Below are 12,451 nucleotides of genomic sequence, written 5' to 3' on the forward strand. Positions count from 1 at the left end.
TCCCAAGGCCAGGCCCTTATGGGAGCACCTCTAGTGAAGCGCTTGCTCAGATTAGTTTCCTCCAGAGGAACACGGGCTTCAAGGGACTAGAACCAGATTGGTTCCCTTCTCGTGGCCCTGCGTCCCAGCCCAGCCCCAACCCCCACCCCAGATCTCGCAGCCGAGCCGAGGCAGTCCCGGAGAGCTGCGGGCCCAGACAGGCTGCCAAGCGCTGTTCCTACTTCTCCCGCACTCGCCTTCCAGCGCTGCTGCCCGCGGGAGCTGGCCCTCCACCTTTGGGGGGTCTTTTCAGGCGCGCGGTGGGGAGCAGAGCCCGGAAGGCAGTGATCTGTGTTGTGACAAGCACCCATTTTTCAATTGGTGCTGGTGAAAGATCAGATGCGCCAGGCTCTTCCGACGCCCTTTGGGAAGGGGAGGAGGAAGTGGTGGGGCTGCTGGGGGTGGGGGGAGGCGGTGTGATGGAAGCAGGGAAAGTAGTCGGGGGTGGGGGAATGATGCCGGGGACCTCCAAGCCCCTTCCAGGCCTGAGATTGGGACTTCTCCGCAGCACCTAGAAGAACCAGCGCTGATGGGAGAGATCAGACCTCAGAAACCAGGATGTGGGCAGTCAGATGGGCCTCAAAGCTGAGGAAAGAATGAATTTCCCAGCTCCCGCGCGGGGTAGGGGGTCTTCCTAGGTTCAATTTCCCCTAGGAGATGTGACTTTGCTAGTGCGAAGATTTCTGTCCGGCATCTGACTCAGGTCCCCCAGACGGCAGCTAGGGCCCAATGCCTCAAGCTACAGGCAAAATCTGTTTGGTCAAGCGGATTGTAATACTTTGAGATATTAGCTTATACTAATTTAATAATCTCTTGCTAACAGTTCAAATAGAGAAATTATTAGTTTTAGCTCAACGAAAACGGTCTTTAGTTAGGCTTTATTATAATTATAAGCGGTTGTACTTTTTAAAAATGTTAATCTCAATATAGGCCTAATTAATGCTGCCTTGTTACTGACAAGTAGTTCATCAAATATCTGATTCAAAGATTTTCATAATGAGTATATTAATTAAACTATGAATAATCTAAAGGTGGTTATATTTAAACAATACCTCATTATAATGATTAAATACTGATTTCGAATATTATGTCTTAACAATTGTCACTTAGAAAACACAACCTTTCCTTATGTATGAGTCTGTAATGGCAAAATGCAATTTTGGGATTTTTTTCCCTTGTTCAAAAAATGTGAAACTCATTTTAAAACACTTCTGAAATAGGTTACACACAGCTTAATGATTATCAAAATGACTCTTTTCTGCAAAAAAAGACCCCAAAGTGCGCGTACAGCTGCAAACCCAAGAGGGTCAGCATCATTTCACTGTATTCTCTTCTTGATTACAAGCCGGGCCCATCAAACACAACATAATTACAGTAATTTCAGGTTTATTTATTCTAATGCAGTTTCCCCATCTCTCTGGTAATTATGAGCAATTTTTTCGCCCAGGGAATCTTTTTGCATTAACAAAAGAGATAACGCACTGAAAGCCAAATTTGCTGTGCATTGAGAAAAGGAAAAAAAAAAATCAAATAGGTGCGAGCTGCCATCTCTGCAATTCTCTGGTACCGGAGCCGGCAAATTGCTTGCAGGTGTATGGAGCAAGCTTGTCAATGGCCAGGCCTCCAAATTAGCAAATGCACAGCAGCAAAGTAATGAAGACAGACTTAGCAAAATTGCCAAACAACAGATATCCCTTTAATATCTTCTCTCACCCACACTAGCTCTAAAAAGGGGTAGGGGTAGGGAGAGAAGCAACAGTCCCCAGCCCCCTCCTCACTGGTCTTGGCTTTCAGGAGCCTGGAGGGGCTGGGTAGCCTTGTGAGTGGTAATCTAATTGTGGGAGAACTCATATCTTAAATCGAGGCACTATTTAAAAATATAAAACTGGAAACGTTTATAGTTCACAGCTTTTCCTCTCTGATCATTATGTTTTATTTTTATTTCTTTCTTCTGGAAATCTGCACCTGGGCTGGGTTAGATATAATAGCTCTTCAGCCTTCTTGATTCTGTACGAGTTTTTAGAGCCACAAGAAGTTTTAAGATTCCCCCCACCTATATGCACAGAAGTGTGAATTTATTCATAGAGAGTCATCTGATGTAGAAACTAACTGAATCTTTCACCTTGAAGAAATTGTCAATTTCTGTCACCCCAGGAAAGGTAGGTCTGTGCGCTGGATGTGGAACCCGAGATACTAGATCAAGAAAAATTGGGAGCAAAGAAGCAACCCAGGCTTCCTGGCTTTAAATCTTTATCCTGGTATCCATCTCTTCCTTTCTGTATCTTTTATAAACTGATTTCAGAATTACCTGGTTTTTGTCATCCCACCGCCTGGATTAAACACCCTTGAAATTATAGGCTAACGCAAACTTTTCTGCTCTTCATCCCGCATGGCCATAGGAACCTCCATCAAATGCAGTACAGAAGGCGAGGGTCCTTCCCTCCCATGCCTCAAAGAAATCCTCCTCCGGTCCCCAGCTCCACAACAAACCCCTAGCTCCAGCGTAGACAGACAAACGGCTGTAAAAAGTGCCTTCCCCAGGCTCAAGAAACATGTCACCCCCACCCACCGCTTTCCTACCCCCTCCCTCATCCCCCAATCTTCGAGGATTAACACTTCCTGAAACATCAAGTGTTTTTATAAAAAGGAAAAAAATAATCCTGACATCGCTGACAAGAAGTTTTGATGGAAGAATTAGCTGGTGCATACATAATCACTCCCCCACCCTCCTACTCCCGGAGCGGGAGCCACGGCGGCGGGCGCAGCGCAGCCTTCCAACCCTCTGAAAAATGAAACCGGTTTCCACCCTTACCTTCTTCAGTGTCAATTTCAGATAATCTGGACACACACTCTTTGCTACATCAAATCAAAAGGGTCGAAGGTAGCTTTTGGCTGGGAGAATAACGGGAAAGAAAAATCAAAAAAGAAAAAAGGGAAAAAAAGGAAAAATAGAAAAATACAAAACCGACCAAACCAGAGTAAAACAAAACCAGAAAACCAAAAACAATCCCCCAGACCCATCCTCCTATCTTGAGAGTAAAGAGTGGAAAGAGGTCCCCAGGACCAGGCGCCTCAGAGCGCCGCAGGCTTTTTGCAGCGCTGCGCTTGCAGAATAGGACTGAAATTTTCGGCTATATAGCCTCTGTCTTTATAGCTGATGAAAAAAATTGCAGATTATTAGCATAAATGTTTACTCTTCATTACGCTGATGACATTGTGCACTCGAGATCTTGGTAATCTTTGGGAAAATTATGAGTAATTTTTAAAAATTTTAAAGCAGCAGCAGTTACCATGCAATTCAGGCTAATTCTGCGTAGGCTCCGAACGGATATAATTATCGAGGAGTCAAGATGTTATGCTAAAAACTATGCATTGATATTCCCATTTATTATGTACATACAACTTTGACAATGTTGATGCTTGAAATAGCAGGAAATTGTCTTGCGCAAAAATTACAGTCCATATTAGGACATCTGAAATTGCGAAGAATTATATAGTAATTGCAGGCTTTCAGATGGGAGAGCCAGAATGCTCAAACTAGTGCAAATGTGGATAAAATTACAGATCAGAGCAAAAATTAGGGAAAAAGGGGGTCTGGGATTTTTCAGGTTGGCTATAGGATTCCGGAAGTGTCTAATGCCACATGATTGCTGCAGCTTTAGGGGAGACATTCATGCCTCAAATAGAGCATTGGCCAGGGTGGCTTTAATTGAATTTCTTGGGCTTTTTCTTTTAATAGGGGCGAATGAGGAAATTGGCCACCCAAGGCAAATTTTCACTGTCCTCCCGTGAACGTGCCGAGGAGAGAATCCTTTTCCCCGCGTACCTGCTCTCCCCAGTTGAATGCCCGGGAGGCCCCGAGGGGCTCCCCACCCTAAAAGCAGCAACTGAGAAAGTGACTGAACCGGATACCCCCTCCTGCCACCTCCTCCTTTCTTTTTCTTTCCTGTTCCCCCCTCCTCCTTCCTTCGGCCCCATTCCCGGATTCTGGCAAACCCCTCCACAGTGCAGCCGGGCCGGGCCCCGGGATGGGCAGACCGGGCCCAGGGGGCGGGGGGGCGGGATGATGGGGGAGCTGGCTGACTGTGCTGTCGGTGCCAGGCGGGGAGCATCTCGGGAGATGCCCAGGGCAGTTTTGGGAAGGTGGGACGTGGAAGGTAGGAGCGGAGGGTCGGACTGTCCCGCCCCGCGACCGCCTAGGCTCTTCTTTTGTCTCTACCGCCTGGAGATAGCGTCCCCCCACCTCCCAAACATTCACTTCCCACTTGGGCGGCGCTTCTCTCGGGAACCGAGACACCCTGCGACTTTAAGAAGCCGAGGCCAGACCCGCGGAGGGAGGGGGCGGGGCGGGGGCTGCCCCCCGAGCGGGGAGCGCGGTGGCGCCCGGCGGGAGAAGCCGACTGGAGCGCGGCCACCGCTCGGAGCTGCAGTGCCTCAGTCCGGTTCTCCGGCCAGAAGTCCCCATTGTTCCGGGTGCGATGATTTCACCTCCCGGGTGTCCGAGACTCCTGGACCACAATCGGGACGGAGAAGCGGCAGCGTGGGCAGCCTGCCACGTTTGCTCCGTGCGGGCCCCAGTCTGTCCCCCGGGGTCACCCGAGCGTGCTCCAAGTCCAGTCCTTTCGCCCTCGCTTCTCCTGCCCCGAAGTTGTAATCCTCTGCCCAGCACCCCCGACCCGCCTCGTGGGCCGGTTCTGCACCTTCTCCCACTCGGCACCCGACCCTCGGCCCCCATCTCCTAGCCCGGGACCCGACTCGACTGGGGACCCTCCCCAAAAGGGCCTCTTTCGGAGCGCTGCCACGCAGCCCGCAAACTGCCGGGACACTGCAGCTTGTGCGCTCTGGCCCGGGAGGACTAGTGGGGGAGCCGGAGAGGCCGAGGGAAGAAAGGTCTGTCTGGAGGCTGTCTGCGTTCTTGGCGTGGAGGCGCCGAGCTGCTCCTCCAAGACCTGCCTGCACTTTCTTTTCCTGAAACACAGTCTCCCCGCCCCGCCCAGCATCAGGCCGCAGGGCGGAATGTAACATCTTGTAATGCGGCAATCACTGCCAAACCCGTCCCCGCGAGGGGAACTCCCGCGGGGGGGGAAGGGAGATCGAAGGGATGTGGGGCCTCAGCATCCGCCTTCACTGGTGTGTGTGGGGGCGGGGGTGGTGTGGGCTGGCGGCGGCGTGCCTGGCAGATCCTGGGTGGGGAGGGAAGGGAAAGGTCGGCCGGGGGAGGCTTCCCTGGGGCTGCTTTGGGTGTTAGGATCCTGCTAGAGGCCGCCAGTCCCCGCAGGACCTAGTGCCCTAGCGCCAAGGCTGGAAGTAACGCGGCCCCCAGGATAGCGCCCCATCCTACAGCTTCTAGGATTCCTGGACCCCAAAGTTGAATTCGAAGGGAAAGGACCTATCTGTATTTTTGGAGGAGGAGAGGATCTGTAGCTTAATTCTCAAAGGAGTCTCCGACCCTAAACAGGTTAAAGCCACTGGTGGTCGCTGTTCCATGGAGGGAAAGGAGCGGGCTTTTGACTTTTGAGCGAGTTCGGGGGACGCCAGGAGTGGGGGAGTTGCACTCGAGTTTTACTGCCCGTAAGAACGACTTTTTGAGAGGGGACGGGGCTTCTTGCTCCCGGACATTGTTCTCTTGGGCGGAGGGGACCACTTCAGAGCTTCTCTTTGCACCCGCCTCTTCTGCCCCTCGTCTTCTACCACTGAACTGTTTGTAAACAAAGTTCCAGTCTTCCCCCGCTCTCTCCGCCTCCACCAAACCGGTATTTCTCCCAAATTCGCTCCATCAGTCTGGGATCGTTACACAGGGCGGATATTCACAATTTTCACAAGTGATCCTGAAAGAAGGCCTAGGGGAAGCCTCCTAAACGGTCCCACATTGCAGCAGGGCTGGTGAGGCCTGGGATCCATTCTCTCTCTTTTCTGCCCTTCCCATCCCGGAGTCTCGGGGCCGGCGGCGGGAATTCCGCGCAGCCGGAGGGGGGTCTGCGCCCAGCGGAGCGCCGTGCTGGGGCGAGGTGGCTGTGGGCAGAGCGTGCACCGGGGTTGGGGGGAGAAGGGGATTGAAGGGGCGGGGGGCGCGGGAGTACCTGGGCGGCAGGCAGTTGGCCCTGGAGCTCAGTGCCCGCGTTCTGCCTGAGTTGGGAGAGCCCTGCCAGAGGGTGGAGCGGAGAGGGCCGTGCACCCCTCACTCTTCAGCTTCCCTCCCCCTGCTTCCCAGCGCTTGTCATATCCTGTCTCTGGCCTGATATTTCACGCGAGCAATTGGAAGGAGATTACAATGGAGATTTATGTGTGTTCTGAGCACTGCTAGTTTCCCAGCGTAGAGAGCCGAGATCGCTGCTTCCCATTTCCATTTTTCATTCGCGCTTTGGGGAGCTCAGTAGAGCACGGGGGGAGCGTGTCTGCGCGGCGGCGGGCTGATCACAGGACTCCGCGTCTCCGGGCGGGCCGGGAGACTGTGAGAAAGGCTTGCCAGCGCGTCGCCCCCGGCGGGGCTGGAGCCGGCCCCCGCCTCCAGGAGCCAGGCTTTGTTTCCTCCCTTGCCTACCCCTCCCCCTTTCCGCCCCCTCATTTCTGGGACCTGGGCGCGTCCTTGCAACCCCTTCTCTTTGCCCTTCTCGTGGTCTGCGGAAACACCCCCTTCCTCTGGCCCCTTCACCCTCCTGCTCTCGGCTTCGCAGGCTCCCTGGGGAAAGGCACACCGTGGCCCGGCCCGACCCTGTCGTCACTGGGTGCCGGGTAAGGTGACTCCGGCGAGTCTGTGGGGCCTCAGCCCACCCCGGAGCTGGGAGCTCCCGCCCTCCCGACTCCCAGGCTTGGCTCATGCCAAGGCCTGTTGCGTGATTCCAACTTGGGCTGACATTCCCTGCCCCGGGCTCTCCAGCGTAGGCCTCTTAATCATCTTGTCTGCTGCAGATCCTCGACACCAGCCAATTTACTGCCCGTCTCTCCCCGCTGGTTTCGGGAGGAGGGAGGGGAGTGCGTGCAAAGGAGGGGAGGGCACAGTCACCCTCAGGAGGAAGGCTGGCACCAGTTAGTGGCACTAAAAAGAAAAAAAAAACAAAAAAAAAAGAAACAAAACCCACAGAATTTGGAGCTGGGGTGCGGGTGGTGGACAGGGATGGGGGTCTGCCAGGCAGCGGTTGCTTAGGGAAACCCAGGATCATAGGTCAATGGGCTTCAACCCAGGCCTCCCTAGCCTGGGAAAACAATGCAAAAATGCAATGGGACACTGGATCGTGTAGCCCCCCTGCTTTTTCCAAAGCCGCAACTCTCTGGACCGCATGGTTGTAAACCAGACTCAGAGAAGGCCCCAAAGCAATCTGCTCAGAAAAGTCATGATTCTCCTCAGGATGATGCCACTGAGCCCAGAAAGTCACCTCCGCCCCGTGTCTGGTTTTGGCAGATAAGTTGAAGACACACAGCACAGATGGCCTCATCCTAGAGGAGACGAAGCCTGGACCTGGCAGGCGGGGCTCTGTGGCTGGCACCCAGCCCCTCTGCAGTAGGGGAGAATCCCTTCAGAGGGCATGGCTGAGGTTCAAACCCCAGGTAGGAAGGGGCTTTCCCAGCCCCAGGATGTTGCTCTTCCACACAAAGTGAAGTTGGAAAGCCTCTGGGTAACTGTGGGTTTCATACCCCTCTCTGGGGGTAGTGAAAAAACAGTAATACTAAATATTAAATAGATATAATTTAGTGAGTTGTTACCATGTGCCAGGCACTGTTACACTGTTGCCTCATTAAATGCTCACAACTGCAAGCTATAGCTGTTAATATTTCTCCTATCTTACAGATCTGCAAACTGTAACACAGGGTGGTTAAATGGGTTCCCCAAGGTCACACAGTCAGTGATTGAAGCCAGGAAGCTTCCAACTGCGGGCCCTAGCACTTTCAGGGAAAGGCCCTAGCACTTTCAGGGACCTTCATTAACCACCAACCCCTGGCCTTTGTAGGGAATGCCAGAAAGCAGGGTCACCTCCAAAGTTGTAAGCTGGTTGTGTGGGGCCCAAGGTAGAAAGCAGAGCCCAGTGGTGTGTGGACATCCCCCCCACCAAGAGTATGAAGTGGAAAGATGCCACTCTCATACCAGTGTATATAAGTCTGTGAGTAAGTATACATGAGTGTGCATATGTGAGTTTGTCTATCAGTGTGTAAGGGTATGAATGCGAGTGTGCATGACTTCGTGTGTCAGTGTTGTAAGAGTGTGATGGAGTATGAGTGTGTGATGTGACGGTGTTCGAGTGTGTGTCATTGTGTGTGCGCCTGAGAATATTTGAGCATGAGTGTGACTGTGAGAGTGTGTATCAGTATGGGTGAGTGTGTGCTAGTATAGATGGGCCTGTGACAGTGTGCTCAGTGTGTGATTGTGTGTTTGCGCGCGCTCGAGCACGGCCCCGTGTCGTTGGGGTCGGCTTGCATTCCAGAGCAGCCAGCCATGCCTCCCGAGGGTGACTCACAGAGCTCTCAGTTCAGTCCCGAAGGGCGGTGGGACAAACGGAGGGGAAGGTTCAAAGTAGGGTTCCGACCCTCAGGCTGCTGCAGAGCTCAGGTCCCTGACAGGAGGTCCCCCGCGGCGGCTGGGGTGCCGAGCCTGGCCATCTAGGCGGGCGCGGGGGCGGTGGCGCCGGCGCCGGAGGGGCAGGGCAGGCGGAGGCTGGAGCCGCTCCGCGCTGAGTGAGTCACCCCGCCGCCGGCCGGAGAATCCCTCGCGGGGACTCGGGAGGGGGCGGGGCGTGAAACCCCCGGTGCGGCCCCACGCCCAGCGCGCCTGTCCTCTCCTTGCCGCACCTCGCGGTGTCGCAGCCTCGGAAAGATGTAAACGTAGCTCTCGGCCGGCTGGCTTCCCGGCCTGGGCAGCGGCTTGAGCTCTGAGCACGTGACTGACCGGACCCTGGCACCAAGAAAAAAGCGCACACATCCAATGAAAACAATAATTTATTTAAATAATCTCTTCATATTGTAAAATCAACATTAAGAGCATGTTGTTTTCATAATAAATAACCCCAAAATACCTTTCATTTCAACAACAAAGACTTTAGGATACGATAAAACAAATCCAAATCAGTAGCTTAATTTAACTGAAATGTTTTTAAAGGAAAAAATAAAAAGGAGGGGTTGCTGAGGTCACTGCTAAACTGCAGTTTTCACAACTGGGGGTTTACAAAAAAGTCTGAAAAGATGAGTATTTTTATACAAATAAATCAGTGGGAAAATCTGCACAGACACCTTTATTTACAAACTCTGTGTCCAAGTCCAGGCTAATAATCCTGAATAGGTTTTAAAAAAGATAATTTAAACACATTTTTGCAGTGTTCACATATTAAAAAATCATTTTTTCAACGTCAAAATGAGGTCATCCGCAAAGGCACCTAAACTTTTAAAAAAATAACAAATAAAAAAACTCCACTGGTGATGGATGAGGAGAGAGCTGAGGGAGCGCTCCTGGGGGAGCGCGGTGGGGGTAAGATAAGGGATGGGGGCTCCGAGGGCTGGGAACTGCAGGAAGGAAAGAAGCGGCGGGGCCGCCCGGGTCAAGGGGCCACGTGGGGGAGGGCGGGCAGGCGGGACCGGGAGGTCAATAACTGCAGCGTCCGAGCTGAGCCCAGGGGAGCGGGCGAGGAGAAAGAAGCCTCAGAGCGCCCGGGAAGCCTCGCGCGCCTGGGAGGCTTCCATCTCCCGGGACCCAGCTCTCAGCCCGGGGCGAGGAAGGCGCCAGACAGGCTCACCCGGAGGGGAGGGAAGGCAAGTCCGAGGCGGGGCTCGAAACAGCCGAGACCCGGGGCTCAGGTCAGAAATGCGGCCTTTTAGGGAGGCCTTTGCCAAGCTGCTGTCCGGTTCCCCCGAGAGAGGGGCCCGTTTGGTGGCCCCGGGAGTGAGCAGGGCCTGAGACGGGCCACTGCAGGTCGCAGCCTGCAGGAGAGGTGGGTGGCGGCAGCGGGCCGGGAGGAGGGAACCCCGGCTCGGGGTAAGCAATGAGGATAAGTGGTCTCTGCTCTCAGTCTCTGGCGAGTTCTCCCTGGGGTTAGAAAATCGTCCCCGCGCTCACCGGGGCGCCCCCGCCGCCGTGATGGTGGTGGTGGTGATGCGGCTGCGGGGTCTGAGTGGGGTGCAGCAGCGGCGCCGTGGCCTGCAGGTGTGAGGCGGATCCCGAGGTCTGGTGGTACCAGGGGTAGTTGCCCAGAAAAGCCGAGGCCGCGCTGCTCGGGCTGGAGCCCGAGCTGCCGGCGCCGCTGCCGCCACTGCCCGGACCACCGCCGCCCGCCATCCGCTGCGGCACACCAAAGTCCCAGGAGGCCGGCGCTGAGACTGGCGGCGAAGCACAAGGTGGAGAAGCGCTGGCCCCAGGGTGCTGCTCCGAGGGGATCTCACCACTTTTCCACATCTTCTTGAACTTGGACCGGCGGTTCTGGAACCAGATTTTGACCTTTGAGGAAAAAGACCTGAGCATTAGTGGAGGAACCTAGTCTTGGGGCAGTAGGGGTTCGAAGAGGAGAAAAAAGAAGGCAGAGAAAAACCGCTGGCTAGCGGTGGGCAGCGAGCGCCCTGGGGAGATAAGAGGATCACGGGCGGCGGCCTTCGAGGCTCTGCCGGTTCCTGCTCCCTGGGGAGGTAATTGCCAAAAGGCCAGGACTGCTGGTGTACGTGCACTGTGATGATGGTGACAGCGGGAGGGTGAGGAGGGCCAGTTATTTCACCCGCTTAATCAGTAGCGAGAGGTACGGGATTTCTGTCCACCCGGTCCCTTTCCTTCCCTCCCACGGCGGCCCCTTGGGGGTTTCCAGCTTTGGGCCTAGAAGCTTACTTAGGGCCGCTCGAGGCGCAGGCCTGGAAATCCTTAAAAGTACTTAAAATGAACTTTAAAAAGCATTGTCCTAAACCCGCCTGCTTCCCAGCCATCTCAGGCCCGCGCTCTCCTCGCCCCTGCAGGGCGCGAGCCCCACCTGAGTCTGGGTGAGGCCCAGAGAGGCCGCCAGCTCGGCTCGCTCCGGCAAGGCCAAGTATTGAGTCTTTTGGAAACGCCGCTGAAGAGCCGCCAGCTGGAAACTGGAGTAGATGGTGCGGGGTTTCCGGACTTTCTTTGGCTTCCCGTTCACTATCCGAATTTCAGGCTCAAGGTCCTCCTTCTCTGCAACGATAAAGAATCGTAAGAACAGCGCAACCCAGGGGTCCTGGAGTTCCCGCCCTCCTAGAGGGCCCGGCGGGGGGGACTTGGCTTGAGCAAAGAGGTGGGTGCACTGAACTGTGGCGCCACGGGCAGGCGCAACTTCGCAGCGTGCGATCGGAGCCGCCACCGACCCCGGGAGCTGTACCCTCCAGGGAAGGGGGAGACAAGTGCACACCCAAGAGAAAGAAGCTGGTGGCAAGGAGATGCCCTTATGAGGCAGGCAGAGCACGCCCACTTGGCTCTTGAGGCCACCAGGTCCTACCAAAGGAGAGAGGGACGTAACCGGCGACCTGCGGCAGATTGGAGGCTGGGGAGGGTAAAGGGCACAAGCGGGCGGTGAGCAGGCAGCGTGAAAATCCAGAGCTTTCGAAGGCCCCCCGCCCCAAACACGTTTACCCATCCATCCCATTAACTAGACCGACTCGGCACTCTTGACTTCAGCGTTATGCATACCAGGCTCGTTGTTGGCTGGGGACGAACTGGTTCCATAGGGAGCGTAGGAGGTGTAGGCGGCGGTGTAGCCCAGGTCATAGCTGCTCTTGGCGGAGTAAGGGACGTTGTTGAGGCCGCTGGCTTGGTACTGGTAGGAACCCATGTGCGCGTAGGGCGAGCCCCCGCCGCCGCCGCCGCCCGCCGGGTGCTGCTGGTTGGTGTAGTAGCTGCTGTCGGTGGCGGTGGACACCGGAAGGGTGGGCGACTCCTGGGGCTTGTGGAGGCTGCTGCTGCTGCTGCTGTTGCCACCCGGGCCGGCGCCGCCGCCGCTCGGGGGCTGCTGGTGCTGGTGGTACGTGCTGGAGGCGGCGATCTGGGTCGAGTGCATATCAGCCACTAGACTGTCAAAGACTCCAGTCATCCTGGCCCGAGACGGGAAAGAGCAGAGGTGGCGGGCGTGCGGGGGAAGCCAGGCGCCTCCTCTGTCTCTCCCGGTCCCCTCCAGCAGCCAATGTAATTACGGGGGTGGTGGTGGGGAAACAAGAAAGGAGGCAACCGTCTAGGCGCCTCCTCCTCCGGGGGAGGCGATCACCGTGCGCTGCTCGGGACAGCTGCCTCTGGTCGCATCCTCTTTCGGCCTCTGGGCCCGCTCGGCTCCTTGCCCAGCGCGAGCGCGGGCTCTGGCGGGGGGCGGGCAGTGGAGGGGGCAGGGGTGGCTGGGCCGGGTCGGGGCTCTGGGAGGCGGGAGCAGGTGAGCGGCCCCGAGCGGCTTTACGATTGTCTGCCAGGCGGGCTCCTGAAGTGTGGGCATTTAACACTCGT

General features: G+C 55.4%; 1 protein-coding gene across 1 annotated transcript, besides 3 other annotated features; it reads right to left on the minus strand.

The window, feature by feature from the left end:
- Positions 663–1,836: an enhancer, noted in NCBI's record as "VISTA enhancer hs422". NCBI's record gives its function as "enhancer in: midbrain (mesencephalon)[7/7] | forebrain[6/7] | nose[6/7]" and the evidence as "EXISTENCE:transgenic organism evidence [ECO:0001131][PMID:17130149]".
- Positions 8,625–8,854: a silencer, noted in NCBI's record as "silent region_12108". NCBI's record gives its function as "represses an Ori minimal core promoter by ATAC-STARR-seq in GM12878 lymphoblastoid cells {active_cell/tissue: GM12878}" and the evidence as "EXISTENCE:reporter gene assay evidence [ECO:0000049][PMID:35858748]".
- DLX2 (distal-less homeobox 2) lies at positions 8,950–12,412 on the minus strand. The gene is made up of 3 exons (NM_004405.4): positions 11,651–12,412; positions 10,974–11,158; positions 8,950–10,456 (listed from the first exon to the last, which is right to left on the minus strand). The coding sequence occupies exons 1-3, from the start codon at positions 12,048–12,050 to the stop codon at positions 10,055–10,057; spliced, it is 987 nt and encodes a 328-aa protein (NP_004396.1). The 5' UTR covers positions 12,051–12,412; the 3' UTR covers positions 8,950–10,054.
- Positions 12,214–12,413: a silencer, noted in NCBI's record as "silent region_12109". NCBI's record gives its function as "represses an Ori minimal core promoter by ATAC-STARR-seq in GM12878 lymphoblastoid cells {active_cell/tissue: GM12878}" and the evidence as "EXISTENCE:reporter gene assay evidence [ECO:0000049][PMID:35858748]".

Source organism: Homo sapiens, chromosome 2, assembly GCF_000001405.40.
Source record: "Homo sapiens chromosome 2, GRCh38.p14 Primary Assembly".
Classification (NCBI taxonomy): domain Eukaryota; kingdom Metazoa; phylum Chordata; class Mammalia; order Primates; family Hominidae; genus Homo; species Homo sapiens.